Below are 18,679 nucleotides of genomic sequence, written 5' to 3' on the forward strand. Positions count from 1 at the left end.
TGAAAGTATTAACAGGGACAAAAAAGGGAGAGAGATGAGATACAATGATTTGTGGCTTAACAGTAGGGATACATTGGCCAGGCGCAGTGGCTCATGCTTGTAATCCCAGCACTTTGGGAGGCCAAAGAGTGTGGATCACCTAGGTCACGAGTTCAAGACCAGCCAGGGCAACATGGTGAAACCCCATCTCTCCTAAAAATAGAAAAAAAAGAATTAGCTGGGCGTGGTGGTACATGCCTGTAATCCCATCTCCTCAGAAGGCTGAGGCAGGAGAATCGCTTGAGCCTCGGAGGTGGAGGTTGCAGTGAGCCAAGATTGTGCCACTGCACTCCAGCCTGGGTGACAGAGTGAGACTCCATCTAAAAAAAAATGAAAAACAGTAGGGATACGTCTGAGCAATGTGTCCTCAGGCAATTTGTCATTGTGCAAGGATCATAGAGTGTGTTTACACAAACCTACATGAAATACCCTGCTACACCCAGGCTGTGTGGGATAGCATAGTGCTCCTAGGTAACAAATCTGTATGTCATGTAAGTGTACTAAATACTGTGGGCAGCTGAATCACCATAGTAGATGTTTATACAGATGAACATATCTAAGCATGGAAAAAATGCAGTGAAAATACAGTATTATAATCTAATGAGACCTTTGTCATGTATGTGGCCTGTTGTTCACCCAAATATCAAAATGTGCATGATTCTATTCAAGTTGCTGAAAAAAAAAGCCAAAAAACTTCCAAATAAATATCTTACAGGGATTAAAGCTTTTCTTCAGTAATGCAGGATGTTTGAGAAGTTTCCCAAAAAAGTAAAAAGTCGACAAGTTCATCACCACTAGGCCGGCCTTACAGGAATGCCAAGTGTCTCTGGCAGGTTTCCTGAACAAGGAAGTAGCTGCATCAGCTCCACTCTGTTATCTGCCAATTGATAGATTTGCATAGTTTTTAATTTTAATTTCTCTTCTGTTTTTTCCCTCCATAAACTCCTTCTCCCTTCCTTTCATAATTCTGTCTATTAATGCAACTCATATTTAGCTGACAATGCTGGGGTCATTGGAATAAATTTCTATTTTTCCTCCACCAATTCTAATAAGCTGTCTCCAGGGGTGTCCATCTCCGTTTTCTTTTCTGCCATTCCCATGGGATAATTTCCTTGTTCCTATGTGAGTCCAGCCCTCATCACCACGGGCCATCCAACCATCATGCACCCAGGAACAGCTTCAGGAAATGTACCCTGCCAGCTGCCTATCAGCCTCCACCTGCACAGTGATCATTCCTTCAGCTTTCACTCAGGCCGGAGGGCTTTCCACCCAAAAGGGCCTTTCACACCCACTCCCAGCACAGTTCTAGGACCCTGTATACCTCCCAGATACAGGTACATATCCTTCCCCTTTGTTGTTAATTTTGTTTAATTTATTTAAAATTCACTGGGAAATCACTGATGATGGGAGTGACCAGCCTGTCCATTCCATTTTCTGTCCACCATCTGACGGCACCACCTGTGAGGTTGGCCACCCTAGTGTGCTGTGCTCATGGGGCCATCTGGACATACACAAACACCAGGTGTGTGAGTTATTAGAGGAGGCCCGGGATCAGCAGGTGGCTGTGCCCCACAGGACACAGGTCTGTCCTGCAGTAGAGCCCGCATGACCTGGAATCATACGTGTGCATGACCCGTGGTCTCAGCACATCAGCTGAGGCCAGCTTCAGGCAATTCCTGTGTAACCTGCCCTGGGCGCCCACAGAGGACAGATGCATGACAAGGATGTAAGGGAATGCTGCGGATTAGGGGAACTGAAGCTCAATCTTTACTAAGGCTTTACTCGGCACCTGGACCTTATGGAAGACTAAGAAGAAGAGAACAAGAGTCCAGCCCCAAATAGCTCCTGGTTTAGGGTCAGCTTTAGTGGGATTTTAGAGAGTAGAAGACACAGGGGTGATGCTGGAGTGGTTTTCTTTGGGATACTTGGGGCAGCAGAAGGTGGGCCGGGATCAGGACTCCATCTGGCTGGTTCTCATTATCTACATGGATTCTCATGGTGGAAAGTGAGAGACATGACCTAGAACACAGCCCCCAGGGCTGATCTCAGAGACGCCTGCTAAGTGAATGACTCAGCAGAAATGTGGTGGGGTTTTCATCTTGGATCTATTTTTCTTTATAAAAATAATCTGAGAGATGTGTCCAGCCTCAGTGGGCTGTTTCTCCCTCCAGGAGACAGAGCTAACACAATTGTATCTGTGAATCCGCTTGGCTTTCCATCAGAAGATACCACAGACTAGGTTGTTTCAAATAACAAATATTAATTTTCTTATTGTTCTGGAGTCTTGATGTCCAAGATCTGGGTGCAGAAAGGGATAGTATTTTGTTTTTTGAGAGGCCTCTTCCAGGCTTGCAAAGGGCCACCTTCTCATGCAGTGCATCCCCACATGGCCTCTCCTCTGTGTGCATGTGGAGAGAGAGGTCTCTGATGTCTTCCACTTCCCATAAGGACAAGAGTCCTACTGGATTAGGGTCCCACATTTATGGCCACAGTTAACTTATTTGCCCTCTTAAAATCCCTCACTCCAAATACAGAGCCACTGGGATTGGGGTTTCAGCATATGAATTTAAGAGAAGGACACGATGCAGCCAATGACGTCAATCAAGGGATAGTGAGAAGCCTTGAAATATTTTATTTGTCAAGAAGGTAAAATGGGCCTTGTGGGAATTTGTTGAAAAAAAGGTGCCAGTGACTGTTAAAACCTTAATGGTAAACAGAGAAATTTCTCCCTTCTTTCTTGCCTGCAGTGAGGATGTGAGGAAGCAGAACCACAAACAATAAAGAAAGAGGAGCCCTGGGGACAGCTGAGGTGCTGGCGAGGAGGGAGACCACTGAGCAGATGAGGAAGCCCCGCCCTCCCTGCCCCTGCTCCTGACCCGGCCTCATGCTCTGTGGGCCCCGCGCCCCCTGCTGGTCCTGAGCAGCACCTGCGTCCGCGCCCTCCGCCTCCTGGCAGGGAGGTTTGTGTCTGGGCTCACACTCACCTCCCCTCACTGTGTCTCTCGCACAGTAATACACGGCCCTGTCCGCGGCGGTCACAGAGCTCAGCTTCAGGGAGAACTGGTTCTTGGACTTGTCTACTGATATGGTGACTCGACTCTTGAGGGACGGGTTGTAGTTGGGGCTCCCACTATGATAGATTTCCCCAATCCACTCCAGCCCCTTCCCTGGGGGCTGGCGGACCCAGCTCCACCAGTTACTACTGCTGATGGAGCCACCAGAGACAACGCAGGTGAGGGACAGGGTCTCCGAAGGCTTCACCAGTCCTGGGCCCGACTCCTGCAGCTGCACCTGGGACAGGACCCCTGTGAACAGAGAGACCCACAGTGAGCCCTGGGATCAGAGGCAGCCTCCCCTATCTTCATGTCTGGATCCCTGAGATACTCACATCTGGGAGCTGCCACCAGGAGGAGAAAGAACCACAGGTGTTTCATGTTCTTGTGCAGGAGGTCCATGAGTCTCAGAAAGTATTTCCCATGTGAGCTGGACCCTGAATTTAAGGAAATGTGTGGTGGTTTCCTGTGGGTGCCTAAGCGAGGATTTGCATGTAGGTAGTGCCTTTGTATAAAGAGGTGAAAAGGGATGAGGGAGGCCCCAGTCTTTTAGGCTCACCCTGGGATGAGGATGCTTGCTTTGCCCTTTGAGAACTCAGTTCTCTTCCTGGGGCCTCAACTAGCCATGTCCTGGCTCCTCTTTTCCCAGGTGAGGAAGTAGATTGGAACAGCAGCTTAATGTAATAATCATGTGAGTTCAGACACACCAGGATTCACTTAATGTAATTTATAGTTCAGGACATCCATCATGTTTAGAGGGAATCTCTCTGTTCTAGGGAGTGGGCCACTTTTTAAAAGTGTTTAAATTAAAATAAATTTTTTAGATGAACTTTTGCTCCTTTGCGCAGGCTAGAGTGCAGTGGCCCGATCTCAGCTTACCGCAACCTCCACCTCCTGGGTTCAAGTGATTCTCCTGCCTCAGTCTCCCAAGTAGCTGGGAGTACAGACACGCACAACCACTCCCATCTAATTTTTATATTTTTAGTAGAGATAAGGTTTCACCATGTTGGCCAAGCTAGTCTCAACGTCCCGACATCAGGTGATCCACCCACCTTGGCCTCCCAAAGTGCTGGGATTACAGGCCTGAGCCACCATTTTAACTAAGGCACTGGGAGCTGCCCTCTGAGACCTTTTGAGTCCTGGAATTCTTTCTGAGACCTTAGGAGAGACTCGTGGGACATATCTTCATCATTCTCAATGTGTGACCCTGAGGATGTGGCCTGACCTCTGTACACTTCTGTGTGAAAGAGTAGATTGTGAATTGCAGTGACAATTTCATATGTAAACTCTATAATAGGCCAGCACTGGAGGATATTCTCATCACCAAGATTACTGCAGTTACCTTTCCTGGAAACCAGAGAGGAACTCTGTGAGCCCTCACCTCTGAGTGCACAAGGAACCCTGGTCCTGACTGACAGGTCTCACATGCGACATGGGGGAAAACAAATACATTCAAATCCAGTGTTTTCACCCATATATTGACCAATCTAGCCTGATCTATCTGTCTCTGAAAAGCCTTTTCCTTCATTGAATTGCATGAACATACCCTTGGGTATGGGGTATTGCAATGTGGGTATTTGGTGTTTGTTTAGTCAATTATGTAATTAATAGGCTACCTCCATGAATGTGTGTAGCAGTAGAGTTATCAGAAGTTGGGTGAGTCATATTATCAGGACAAACCTGGACTCTCTTCTTGGGACCTGGACAAGTGGCCAATCTTCTGTGGTAAAGCAAAGGGGAAGAGACAGATCCAACATCTAGAAGCAGGGTAGCTCCTCACTTACCAGCTGGTGTCTGGGCCTTTTGTTTGAACAGACCAAAACGACCTACCTTCACCTTCAGGGAAATGATGAACTTCGTATGAAATTGAGATTAATTTTCACTTACAGAGAAGAAAATGTCATAGGCATGTATATATCTATGTGGGTGTGTACGGGTTTCCACGATGTGCTCATACACAGAAAGGAAGCAACTATATTTGCCGGGAAGAGAACCGAAGGGCTTCTGAATTTGTAGGTGTTGTTAAGCACAAATGTGTCATGTTACTACATCATGTTATAGAGCTGGCGGTAAAACCTCCCAAAATTGTCATGGAGACAAATGCAAAGAAATAAAGATTCAAATCAGATGCCTTTGATCTGTAATGAACAGACCAAGAGAAATCAACCATTATGGAAAGAGTGATAGTTAAATGTAGTAGTAAATTCCACGCTGAGGTGAGAGGGAAGTTCCATCTGACAGCTCACTTTCACCTCTGCGAAAACTTCAGAGCACAGACTAAGAGCAGACAGTGAACTTAGGGCAAGTGGGGGCCAGATGTTTGAGGAGGCTAGAGAGTGAGCTGGAATCCTTGTGAGCCATTCGGAGAAGCAGCAGTGTGCAAGGGTGTATTGAGTCCTCCTGAGTTAACAGATGCTGAATAGATACCAGTTTCACTGCCCTCATTTTGATTTATCCTCAAGACTCTATTGGATTTCTAGATTTGAACACTGGAAAAGCTGATGAAACTCAACATGACTAGGAATATTTCTGGGAAGATTTATGTAATGATGTGAGTGTATTTAAAATTAGGTTATGAAAATTTCATTATCTAAAATGTTGGTATCAGTATCTATTAATTTGTTCTTTTTTTCTTAGAGACAGGGTCTTGCTCTGTCTCTCAGGCTGGAATGCAGTGTCATCTATGAATTTTATAGTATTAAAAATGATCACCCTGATTAATGTTACCATATTATGCCCTTGAGGGATTTTGCTCCATGTGTGCCTGTGACATAGTTCTAGTCACAGATGCAGGAGAAGTGGTCTGTTGAGGCAATTCTTCCTCCTCAGAGGAGAATATAAACTGTCATCTCCTCACCTTGCTTATTCCATTTTCAGAATTGCACATGACCTTTGGGAATGCTGTCACCATGTCTTACAGGGTGGGAGTCGACTGTGGTATGAAGGTGGAATGGAGAAGTGTAATTTTGGGAAAATACAGAACCTGGGCAGATAAAGTTTTGAATTAATTGGGCCTGGAGCCACTCACATCCTGGTGTCTTGTTGAATTGTTTGTCATTTTAAATTCTGGTTATTTAGTTCAAGTTTCCTTGATTCTCTTTCTGCTAAAATATTCATAATCATCTAAATAAACTGGAAAAAAATTACTAATTTGAAAATTAACCTCATTTCTGCTAAGGTCAAAATCAGTTTGCGAGGCACAGAGTGATGGGCATGGACATAGCAGATTACCAAGATTGCATTCACAGCCTAGGTAATCACTATGTTTTATTTTAATTAGGAAACACTTCTGTACATTCCTTATATTTATTAAACTCCTGTTGAGAAACTTCAACTGTTATATGTTGATAGATCCTCCCAATAATAAAACTAAATGTTTTAAAACAGGAATTCCTATTACAATGTTAGCTTTACTTTAGGACACATTTCTTCACCTCATTTGAAATTCGCCCAGATGCACTGATTACAGTGTGTCAGTTAAGAAACGACCAGGAAATGAGATCACGTTTCTGGAGCAGGACATGGCTTTGGGATGCTTTGCAAACAAAGTGGTTTCTCATGTCTTCTTGAAAATCCATTGAAATGGGGAAGTTAAGGACCTCTTAGAAGCACTCTTCCACCCCATATACTTGACTAATAAAAAGGTGGAAGTCAGTGCAGAAAAATAGATAACATGAAAGCTAAAGTAAGATTTGTACCAGTTCGTTGTGCCAAACATGTAATCTTAACCTAGAGTGGGATCTTAGCTGAACCCTCAGGAGGTAAATTTCCTGAGAGATTCAAAGATGTCTTTACAAAATAACAACACTTAGCCCCCGATTTTAAGTTAAAATAATGGAAAACTCCTGGTAATCTACTTCACTTAGTGTAAATCAGTTAAAAACAAAATTCTGGAAAACCTGTGAAGGTGGGACTTGCCGAGGAACTGAGCCTTGGGGGCCTTTGGACACTTTTAGTAGGATTTTCTTCAGCTTTGACTCTCCATGGAATTTGAACAAGTTTCATTTACTGTCTACTGTTTCTCTGAATGACTTGAAGTAATTACTTGACAAAAGCCTACAGCCTTCTCAGTTGATAAACATGTTTTATGTTTTCAACCTGTGACATGCCGATGTTTTCATCAGGTAACTGAAGCACAGCCACTACAGGAAGCAATTGTTATAAAGTGATTCTGTAAGGTATTTCCATTATCAAATGCTGAACCGCTATTACCAGCAACAATATTCTGCAAATGTTGAAAAAAATGGCATTGCTACATAGAATTAATCACAAATTTTAAAACATTTTCTTATATTTATTGTTTAAATTCATAAGCATGGAATGTTTATTTTTCCATCTATTTGTTTTATCTCTGATTTTTTTCACCTGTGTTTTGCTGTTTTTCTAGTAGAAATATTTCATCTCATTGGCTTAGCTCTATTCCTAGGTATTCCACTGTCTTGGTGGCTATTGGGAGAGCAAGTTCTTGATTCCACTCTCAGCCAGAACGTTGTTGGTGACTAGAAATGTTACTGTGATTTTTGTACATTGATTTTATATCCTGAAACATTCCTAAACTAATGTATCAATACTAGGAGACTTTTGGCAGAGCCTTCAATATTTTCTACATATAGAATCATATTATCAGTGAAAACAGAGGGTTTGCATTCTTCTTTTTCTTTTATTTGGATGCCTTTTATTTCTTTCTCTTGCCTGATCTGGTGAATACTTCCAGTACTAGGCTGAATAGAAGTGGTGAGAGCGGGCATCCTTGTCTTGTTTCTGTTCTTAAGGAAAATGCTTCCAGTGTTTGCCCATTCAGTATGATGTTGGCTGTGGGTTTGTCATAGACGGCTCATCAGATTGAGGTGTGCTCCTTCAATGTCTATAATTTTGAGGGTTTTTATCATGAAGCATTGTTAGATTTTATTGAAAGCTTTTTTTCCTGCATCTGCTGGGATACTCACATGGTTTTTGCTTTTGATTCTGTTTAGTAGAGCATCACATTTATTGCTTTGCATAGGTTAAAGCAGCCTTGCATCTGCAGAATGAAGCCTACTTGATTGCAGTGTGTTAACTTTTTGATAAACTACTGGATTTGATTTCCTACATTGAGAATTTTTAAGCCTATGATCATGAGAAGTATTTGTCTTGAGCTTTCATCTCTTATTGTGTCTCTGCCATATTTTGGTATAAGGCTGATGCTGGCTTCACAGATTTAGTTGAGAAGGAGCCTCTATGCCTTGATTTTCTTTGTGTAGCTTCAGTAGAATTGGCATCAGTTCTTTTTTGTATGTCGGGTAGAATTCAGCTGTGAATTCTTCTTGTCCAGGTTTCTTTTTCTTGGTTGGGTCTTTATTATTGACTCAATTTTAGAAGTTGGTTTCACTGTATTTAGGGTTTCAATCTCTCCCTGATTCAATATTGGGAGATTTTGTGCTTCCCAAAATTTACTCATTTCCTCCAGATTCTCTAACACGTGTGCATAAAGTTTATAGTAGTCTGAGAATTTGTGCATTCTTCTGGGATCAGTTGTAATATCCCCTTTGTCACTTTTGATTGTACTTATTTGGATCTTCTTTTTCTTTATCTTTCTAAATCCAGACAGGTGACTATCAGTCAATCTTTATTTTACAAAGAAGAAACTCTTGGGCTTATTGATATTTTGTATGCATTTTTGTATCTGAATTTCATTCAGTTCTTCTCTAATTTTCCTTTTCTGTGCTAGCTTTGAGATTATTTTAGTTCCTTTAGGTGCAAGGTTAAGATTACTAATTTGAGAACTTTCTAACTCCTTGATGAAGTCATTTATGACTATCAACTTTTATGGTGCCCAAATAAATTACCAGATTCAATGCTATTACTATAAAACTACCAACATTATTTTTAAAGCATTAGAAAAAAAACTTTTAAAATTTATATGGAATCAAAAAAAGAGTTTTAAAAACAAAAGCAATCTTAAGTAACAAGAATACATTCAAAGGTATCCCACTAGAAGACATCAAATTATGCTACAAAGCCACAGGAACCAAAATAGCTTGGTACTTATACAAAAAGAGACACATAGACGAGTGAAAGGGAATAGAGAATTCTGAAATAAAGCTGCACACCTACAACCATCAGATCTTAAACCAAGACACTAAAAACATGCAATGAGGAAATGTATCACTATTCAATAAATCGTGCTGGGATAACTGGCTAGCCATATGCAGAAGATGGAAGCTAGATGTCTACCTTTCACCATTAACAAAAATCAACAAAAAATGGAGTAAAGATTTAAGTATAAGACCTCAAACTATAAAAATCTTGGAATACAACCTAAGAAATACTCATCTAAAAATTGTTTTGGGCAAGAAAATTTTGGCAAAGTCCCCAAGAGCAGTTGCAACAAATCAAAATTCTGTCTGTGGCACCTTATAAAACTAAGGAGCTTCTACAGAGCCAAGAAACTATCAAGAGAGTAAGCAGAGATCCTACAGAATGGGGGAGGCTATTCACAAACTATGCATCTGATGAAGGTCCAATATCCAGATTCTATAAGAAATGTAAATCAACAAGCAAAAATAATAATAATAATCACATTTTAAAAATAGGCAAATGACATGAGCATAAACTTCTCAAAAATACATAAAGTGGCCAGGACATATGAAAAAACGTTTAACGTCACTAATCATCAGAGAAATGCCAATCAATCAAAACCACAATGAGATGCTGTCTCACACCAGTCAAAATCAGTATTACTAAAAATTAAAAAAAAAAAAAAACAGATGCTGGTGAGGCTACGGAGAACAGGAAACGCTTGTACAGTGCTGGGTGGAATGTGAATTAGTCCAAGCACTGTGGAAAGCAGTCTGGAGAGAGGCTGCGGAGAACAGGAAACACTTGTACAGTGTTGGGTGGAATGTGAATTAGTCCAAGCACTGTGGAAAGCAGTCTGGAGTGAGGCTGCAGAGAACAGGAGACACTTGTACAGTGTTGGGTGGAATGTGTATTAGTCCAAGCACGGTGGCAAGCAGTCTGGAGTGAGGCTGCGGAGAACAGGAAACACTTGTACAGTGTTGGGTGGAATGTGAATTAGTCCAAGCACTGTGGAAAGCAGTCTGGAGATTTGAAAAGTATTTGAAGCAGAGCTGCCACTTGGTCCAGCCATCTCATATGTGGGTATATACACAAAAGAAAATAAATCAGTCTACCAAAAAATACACCCACTTACATGTTCATTGCTATGTTACTCTTAATACTTAAGACATAAATCCAACCTATGTGTCCATTAATGGTGAATTTGATCAAGAAAATATGGTACATTTACACCATGGAACACTATGCATTCATAGAAAAAGAATAAAATCATGTCTTTTGTGGCAACATGGATGCAGCGGGAAGTCAACATTCTAAGAAAGAGATGATGAGAGTCAATGGGAGATGAAGCTGATGTTTTGGGTGTGCCTGTGTGTAAAATTGAGAAAAGAAATCACCTGGGCACATAGACTCTTAAAATAGCCAAGTCTGGAGCCACTCATATCCCAGTTTCCATTTCATTAGGTTTTAATCTTCCTCATTTTTAGTGAGTTAAATTTGCTTTTCTTTACTCTTGGCTAAAATAACCACACATCCTGAATTAGAGGCATTGCAATCAAAACGTCGTATTTGAAGCTTCCAAGTCCCAAGTTAGGTCAAAGTTAGTATGGGATTCAGTGTGATAGATAGGAGACATGGCTGGATACTAAGAATGGGCTCAGAGTTATTTTACCTAAATTAGGAAAATTTGTTCACTTCCCTTATATTAGATTTCATTGGAAACCTTTGATCTAATATCATCTCTGATAGATTATACCTCAATAATTAAGCTGGAGGTTATGAATTAGTAATTTAAATGAATAGTGGAAACCTCCATTTAGAATATATTTCTCTACCAAGTGTAAAGTTAGCTCAGATGGCAGAAATAACTGCACTCAGCAGAGCTTGTCAATAAGGCAAAGACATACACAAACACATTTATTGCAAGGGTAGTGCATGACTTTGAAGTGATCTGACTTTGAAGTGACACAAAAGGATTCTCACATCTTCTAGAACACATCAAAATGGACAAGGGAAGGAATTGTAAATGCAGTCCTAAGTCCTAGAGACCTGACTAATATAACATAGGAAGTAAAGGCAAAGAAAAAAGTAGCATAAAAACTAAAATATATCTGTAACTCTATCTATCCATCTATGTATTTATGTGTCCAACTATATCTCTATCAAGGTACGTATGTATGTATGTATGTAGGCATCTATCTTCTATCTGTTTATCCATAGTAGTGGATCATTATGCAAAGCAAGCAGCTCTAAAATTGTTTATAATACTATCTAAAATAGCATAATTGGGTGGAGAGACCAGTGCGTTCTCATTTTTAATGTAATAAAGTTACATACAATTAGATACATAAGTAGTTTCAATGAGTCCATAAACATGGGTTCATATAAACATGTACATTTACTAGACATATAGGTTGAGAGGTCCTAGAAGTACTTATAACACCTTAACAACACACATATCCAGTATCACAATTTTTAATTTTAACACTATTCTTTAACATCGGAAATAATCAATCTTTAGGAAAAACGGCTAATCCTATGTATGAGAAAGATAATGTAGAAAATGAACTTAGAATTAATTGTAATATCAGGAAACAGGGAAGTGTTCAAAAACAAAAGGATGAGGTGTGCTGTAAGGATGCAGGATCCAAACTAAATGAGCTCCTAGCACCTAATAAAGCGGTGGTGACATGAACAATAAAATGAATGATGTAGCAAGGATCATCTTCAGAGCATGAAATAGACATCCGTAAACTAATATGGATATTAATAGATTATTAAATAAATAAATAATGGGAAGAAGAACACATCTCTTTGCAGAAGTATTCCAAATATGTTAGCTTGATAGTCCTGTAATCAAGTGAGTGAAGCTTAAACACTCATGAGTTGATTGTGGCCTGAGATTAGAGACATGGAAAAAAAATCACTATTATTGTATTTTATAATGGGATTTCAGATATAATGCCAAAGACATGATCTGTGGATGAATAAAATTTTACATTTTTAAAATCTAAATTGGTATAAACATGCACACATATTTTTCTGCAATACACGCTAAGGGTGTAAAAGACAGCCACAGACTTGGAGAAAATACTTCCAAGTCACGTATTTGTTAAATGAGTTATTTTAGTTTGTTAAATCACTTTTATAATTAATATGCAAGTTAACTTACAACTAATCAAAAGAAAACAATGCATTTAAAAATGAACTAGATCTCAGGCAAGGTACCTCACCAAAGATTATTTGAACATTTTTAAGTAGGAACTTTTTATTAGGGACATGTACGTGTAAATAAAAATTAGATACCATTACTCACCTATTAGGATGTTTAAAACACACAATTCTCATAATGAAAAATGGCAATATGAATGTGGAAAATCAAGAACCATCATGCATTGATGGTGGGAATTCAAAATGCTACATGCACAAAATGAGGTTTTGGGGGGCATTTTTAAAATAGAGATAAAAGTAGAGTTAAAATTTGATTCATTTGTGTGTTCCAAAATATTTACAACAGTGATTCAGAAATTGATGTTTACAAAGATACCTACAAAGGAAGTTCTGTATCAGTTTTATTAATTCAATCCCTGAAATTTGCTTACAGAATAAATGTTGTATGAAAAATCTTTCAAATAATTAAAATTTCTCAAATACACATTTATATTGTTCCTTTTCTTTAGTGACTTAATGTTATTTTCTGAGAAAGTCTTCAATCTAATAATCTTTGTCATCTCCTCCATGCCAGCACAGCTGCCTCCTCCCTGGGGTTTCTGACACTCTCAGGATGTGGGTTTTCACTCTGTGTCTCTCGCACAGTAATACACGGCCATGTCCTCAGATCTCAGGCTGCTCAGCTCCGTGTAGGCTGTGCTCATGGACGTGTCCCTGGTTATGGTGACTCTGCCCTGGAACTTCTGTGCATATGTTGTGTTACCATTGCCAGCATTGATCCATCCCATCCACTCAAGTCCTTGTCCAGGGGCCTGTCACACCCAGTGCATAAAGTTGTTGGTGAAGGTGTATCCAGAAGCCTTGAAGGAGACCTTCACTGAGGACAGAGGCTTCTTCACCTCAGCCCCAGACTGCACCAACTGGTCCTGAGAGTGCGCACCTGTGGGGAGGATACAGTAGTGGATGAGATCTTTCAGAAATGGACACAATCCCCTTCTCATCACTGGGACTTGGGAGTCCCTTACCTGTAGCTGCTGCCACCAAGATGTTCCTCCAGGTCCAGTCCACGGTGAGGCACTGAGCTCTAAGGAGATTCTGCAGAAGAGGCATGTGGTTGTTGGATGATGTGCTTAGGGCACAGACACATCCATATTTACCTCAGTGCATCTCAGGTTATTTGCATATTCATGAGACAGACGATTTCATAGCTCAAAGCCTGATACATGATAAGAAAGGGAAGATAAATGACACATCAGCCTTACAAGAGTGAGATGCAAATGGTCTAAGCCCTAATCTTACTTGAGAAAATGCATGCCCTGCTCTATTTACCAACATTTGTGTACAGAGGTCCTTTCACTGAAGAATAAGCCCTCTCAGAACAGGCTCCTCACTGTGAACCTACATGTGATTAGTATAGAGGCCGCCTGGATTATTTTTGGGACCATCACTGTCTATGACACTGAGCACGTGCCTTGGCCCTATCCTGGACCTGTCAGGCACCAGCACAGCTCACTGGTGACTCTGGAAAGGTGACTGCTGATGTCCCTCTGAGATCTACTGGGCCCTCCTGAGACAGTGTCTCCAGCACGTGCCTCATGTCCTGATCCCCCAGGATCTTCAATAGAAACGCTCTTGTTTTACGTATTTGCCCTGTGATGCATAATTACAGCTGATTTTCTCATCTCAGGAACAATGGGAATCAGAAGAGGTAACAGGAGTTTGAAGTTCTTTATGAACTCTCTACTCTCAAAATAATTGTCAATGAATTTGTGTTTTGAATAATTTTGGGTTACTTTTCAACTCCATTTATTAGATTTTTGTAAAGTATTTACATACTTCCAGTTCATATCCATAGATCTGTATCTTTACATATTGATTTTTGACTCACTTGGTCTGTGCACCTGCCACACCCTCAGATCCATCACTGCCCTGTCATTCACACAATGTAGGCAACATTACTTAACACTGAAATCTGAATTTCTTATTCATAGGAATATAGTTTCTTCAACTAATCGGTACCCATTGAATTAGTAAAAACATGCCCATCCTTCATATTCTCACTATTAAGATATTACAGTCCTAGAAACTCACTTTAAAAAATAGCTCTCATTATCTTAAGTTATATGAATGGTTTGGATGTACTAGAATATTTAAAGCACGTCAGCTACTTCTTGAACAGTTATTTTAGATTGTTTTTTTCCTGACAAAGGAAGACCAAGGCCCTGAGAGAAAACCTCCTCCCCGGCCTCCTGTGCACCTGCTCTGGGGCTGGAACTTGTGCTTGGTGGCTCCCAAGTGCCCCCTCCAGCCGAGCCCTTGCCTTGCCATGAGGTTTCTGTTGTAGCTCACAGGCATTTTACCCCACAGTCTCTAGCTCAGCATGAAGTGGGTGTGTCCTGGTTTAGAATACTCCTTCAGTAACACAATGTACTGAATACTCCTTCAGTGACACAATGTACTGCTGACACCATGTCTTTTAAGAATTGAAGAGCCTTATTAAACCTATTTAACTCTACAGGGAGACCCAAAGCAAATATTCTGTGACACAGAGTGGAACACCTTCTCTGAAACTTCACATTTCCTGAGTCAGTGGACACGAAATGAATACAAAAACTTGTAGGATTTTGGGAGTGCCTTGTTTCGTCCTTGAGCTCTTGCAGTTGAATGTTACATCTAAGAATACCTGCAGGTTCAAATACACTCAGAATAAAACCAACTTTGTATCTACTATTCCAATAACACATATTTTTCTTTCTTCTTAGTTTCTAGCCTATAAAAATTGCCTCCTACACTGACACTAGGCCTAGGCTTATTTTTTTTTATTATTATACCTTAAGTTCTAGGGTACGTGTGCACAACGTGCAGGTTTGTTACATATGTATACATGTGCCATGTTGGTGTGCTGCACCAATTAACTCGTCATTTACATTAGGTATATATTCTAATGTTATCCCTCCCCACTACCCCCACCCCACGACAGGTCCCGGTGTGTGATGTTCCCCTTCCTGTGTCCAAGTGTTCTCATTGTTCAATTCCCATCTATGAGTGAGAACATGCGGTGTTTGGTTTTTGTCCCTGCGATAGTTTGCTGATAATGATGGTTTTCAGCTTCATCCATGTCCCTACAAAGGACATGAACTCATCTTTTTGTATGGCTGCATAGTATTCCATGGTGTATATGTGCCACATTTTCTTAATCCAGTCTATCATTGATGGACATTTGGGTTGGTTCCAAGTCTTTGCTATTGTGAATAGTGCCACAATAAACATACGTGTGCATGTGTCTTTATAGCAGCATGATTTATAACACTTTGGGTATATACCCAGTAATGGGATGGCTGGGTCAAATGGTATTTCTAGTTCTAGATCCTTGAGGAATCGCCATAGTCTTCCACAATGGTTGACCTAGTTTACAGCCCCACCAACAGTGTAAAAGTGTTCCTATTTCTCCACATCCCCTCCAGCACCTGTTGTTTCCTGACTTTTAAATGATCGCCATTCTAACTGGTGTGAGACGGTATCTCATTGTGGTTTTGATTTGCATTTCTCTGATGGCCAGTGATGACGAGCATTTTTTCATGTCTGTTGGCTGCATAAATGTCTTCTTTTGAGAAGTGTCTGTTCATATCCTTCACCCACTTTTTTGTCTTAGAGATCTAAGGCAAATAGAATACAAGTGGAGACTTGGGAAGTGCATGAATAGTTTTTTTTTTTTTTTGAGATGGAATCTTGCTCTGTCGCCCAGGCTGGAATGCAGTGGCACGATCTCGGCTCACTGCAAGCTCTGCCTCCCGGGTTCACGCCATTCTCCTGCCTCAGCCTCCCAAGTAGCTGGGACTATAGGCGCCCGCCACCCTGCCTGGCTAATTTTTTGTATTTTTTAGTAGAGATGGGGTTTCACCGTGTTAGCCAGGAAGGTGTCGATCTCCTGACCTCGTGATCCACCTGCCTTGGCCTCCCAAAGTGCTGGGATTACAGGCGTAAGCCGCAGTGCCCGGCCAAGTGCATGCATTTTTTTTCTCAGCTAGGAACCCTGCAAATGCCCTATGATAAAAGAATCTGAGGTCAATGGATTTGCCAATATCTTTTCTTCAAAAAATATATGTCAGAGGCTTCAGATTTCCCTACTGTCCTTGTCATATTCTCTGCCATTGTGTTTCAGTTTTCCTATGTTCTCCTCAGATAGAGTCTGCGCATTGTCACACTTTCATCTTTAACCCAGATTAACTATCCTGCTGAGAAAACAAAACGTGCATCCTGGAAGTATTATATGTTCTTACAATTGAATCTTAATAATTCAGTCATCTTTTTTTCTCTGGGCTGTGGCCTATACACAGAGTCTCCAGAAATGGAACTGACACTTTCCTTTTTCTGGCTACAACATTATAGGATTATTTCTCTATTGGCTAATTTTATCCACTTTTGTGATAAAGGAAGGCTGCTTGAAGGGGTCTGTAATGGAGATGGACTACCTTAACCAACATAGATAATGTTCTAGATATGTATTTCTCCTGTATGTTCTATCTGGATATATTTATTGTGTATTTCTCAGAGAGTAGGAATTTTGATGACTTATCCAGGAAAGGATCTATGTCAATTTTCACCCAAAGAAATATAAATGAGTTTGGGGTCTATGAGATCTCTCACCCTCACACTAGTTCAGACATGCCCTTTCTGTTTATTTAGTTCAGATTTACATATAACAAACCACACAGCCAGGCTCATCTAAATTGCCACATGCTTGTTTAAACACATTGGAGCAGCATTAATCCTCACATTAATCTCAGAGAATCTTGGTTCCAGTCCACTGTTTACGTTAGTTGAGAGCAGCATCAGGGACACACTGGAGTGGATATTTCTTCCCGAAAAAAGCCTCACTCCCAAGTATACTAAAGAGTTGCCATGGAGCCATTGTGTGGTTGGATTTCTTCTTATCAGCCTGTCATGGAGGATATTTTGAATGATGTAGACTTTACACTTAGATGGTAATGACTCCCATTGTTGTTGAAATGGCTGGCAGCCCACAATCCTGTTTCTCCTCTCAACTCACCTGAATGTCTCCAAGAATCCCATGAACCTCAGGACTCTCCTTGTTAGATGACTCTGAGGATTGTTAGTCTGCTCAGTGCTACACACAGAGGTAGCTAATAGAGGATTCTCAGTCCACTGACATGTTGGGCTCATAACATAGGACACATATCCAAGAGTGGCCAATTCATGGCAATGCCAATAGATATTTAATTGAAGAGGCATTATTTTTAGTGCATCGGAGTGTGAAAGCTTCATGATTCATGGCAATAAAGCCACAGACTGAATGCTTTGCAGAAGTGAGCTCATTGTTAGAAGAGGCCTGCCCACCAAGAAGTCAGTCTCTTTAACTAAAGCACTTGAAAAATGGTGTCCTGAGACCTTGTGAAAATTCATTTCCTGGAGTAAAGAAAGGGGAAAGCTATTCTTAAATCATTGGAAGAAACCATATCAGAAATTTTATCAACACAGCAGTCAAATTCCAGTAAGTCAATGCTTGGGTTTATGTTTCACAACTCAGGAAGCAATAAAGAAATCTACATAATCGGAAGGCTACTCCAACAGAGGGAATTTTGACCTATTTAATTAATAGGCCAGTATTCACTCAAAGACACACTCCTGTGAGATCTCCAACTTAAACAGATCTCTGTAACCTGAAGAAGTTTTCTCAACAGATTCTTTTTCTCTAGACACTCGCAAATGCAAAAATACATTTTGTATATTTGTGCATGAGTGATCTAGAGAAGTCCTTGTCTTGTTAATGAAAGTTCATGGAAATATGATAACTGCATCACTTACTGTGAACTCACACTTCACTAGTCTCAAAAATTTCTCACCCATGTGATGGAGCAATGGGTGCCTCTAAGAATATGCTGATTTTTGGACTCAACATGTTCTCTTTGCTTGACTTATAGACCCATGTCTGACATCTGAGACACACCCTGGGGAGCTGTCTCCAGATAACAATAATGTAATCTTCTTCATGAACACAACTCTGCATTCCCCACATACCTCAGCCACACCTTAGGGGAGAGGTGTTAACTTCACCGTCCAAAAGCATTTTATACCCTGGAGCCTGAAAAATAATTTGGATGTGATACCACCTTGTACTTGTAATATAGAGGGCAGAGGTCAGCATCCCCCTGGATTTGAATGTGTTTTATTGTTGTATTTATTTTCTTGCAGACATGAATTACTTGCTTGACAAAAACTACAGCCATGCCAGTTCATAAAATTTTCCTTATTCTGATTTTCCCATCTGTGGCATTTGAATTTCAATATTAAGTGAGCGATGTGCATACCTCACAGGAGCAATTACAAAATAACTCTTT

General features: G+C 40.6%; 1 protein-coding gene and 1 pseudogene across 1 annotated transcript; both read right to left on the bottom strand.

Moving 5' to 3' along the window:
* Positions 1 to 1,573: 1,573 nt before the first annotated feature.
* On the bottom strand, positions 1,574 to 3,564 carry LOC107983983 (putative V-set and immunoglobulin domain-containing-like protein IGHV4OR15-8). The gene is made up of 3 exons (XM_017022769.3): positions 3,428 to 3,564; positions 2,781 to 3,344; positions 1,574 to 1,776 (listed from the first exon to the last, which is right to left on the bottom strand). Exons 1-3 carry the CDS (start codon positions 3,492 to 3,494, stop codon positions 1,574 to 1,576), a joined length of 834 nt encoding a protein of 277 aa, XP_016878258.1. The 5' UTR covers positions 3,495 to 3,564.
* Positions 12,956 to 13,249, bottom strand: IGHV1OR15-4 (immunoglobulin heavy variable 1/OR15-4 (pseudogene); annotated as a pseudogene).

This window comes from Homo sapiens, chromosome 15 (assembly GCF_000001405.40).
Source record: "Homo sapiens chromosome 15, GRCh38.p14 Primary Assembly".
Taxonomy (NCBI): domain Eukaryota; kingdom Metazoa; phylum Chordata; class Mammalia; order Primates; family Hominidae; genus Homo; species Homo sapiens.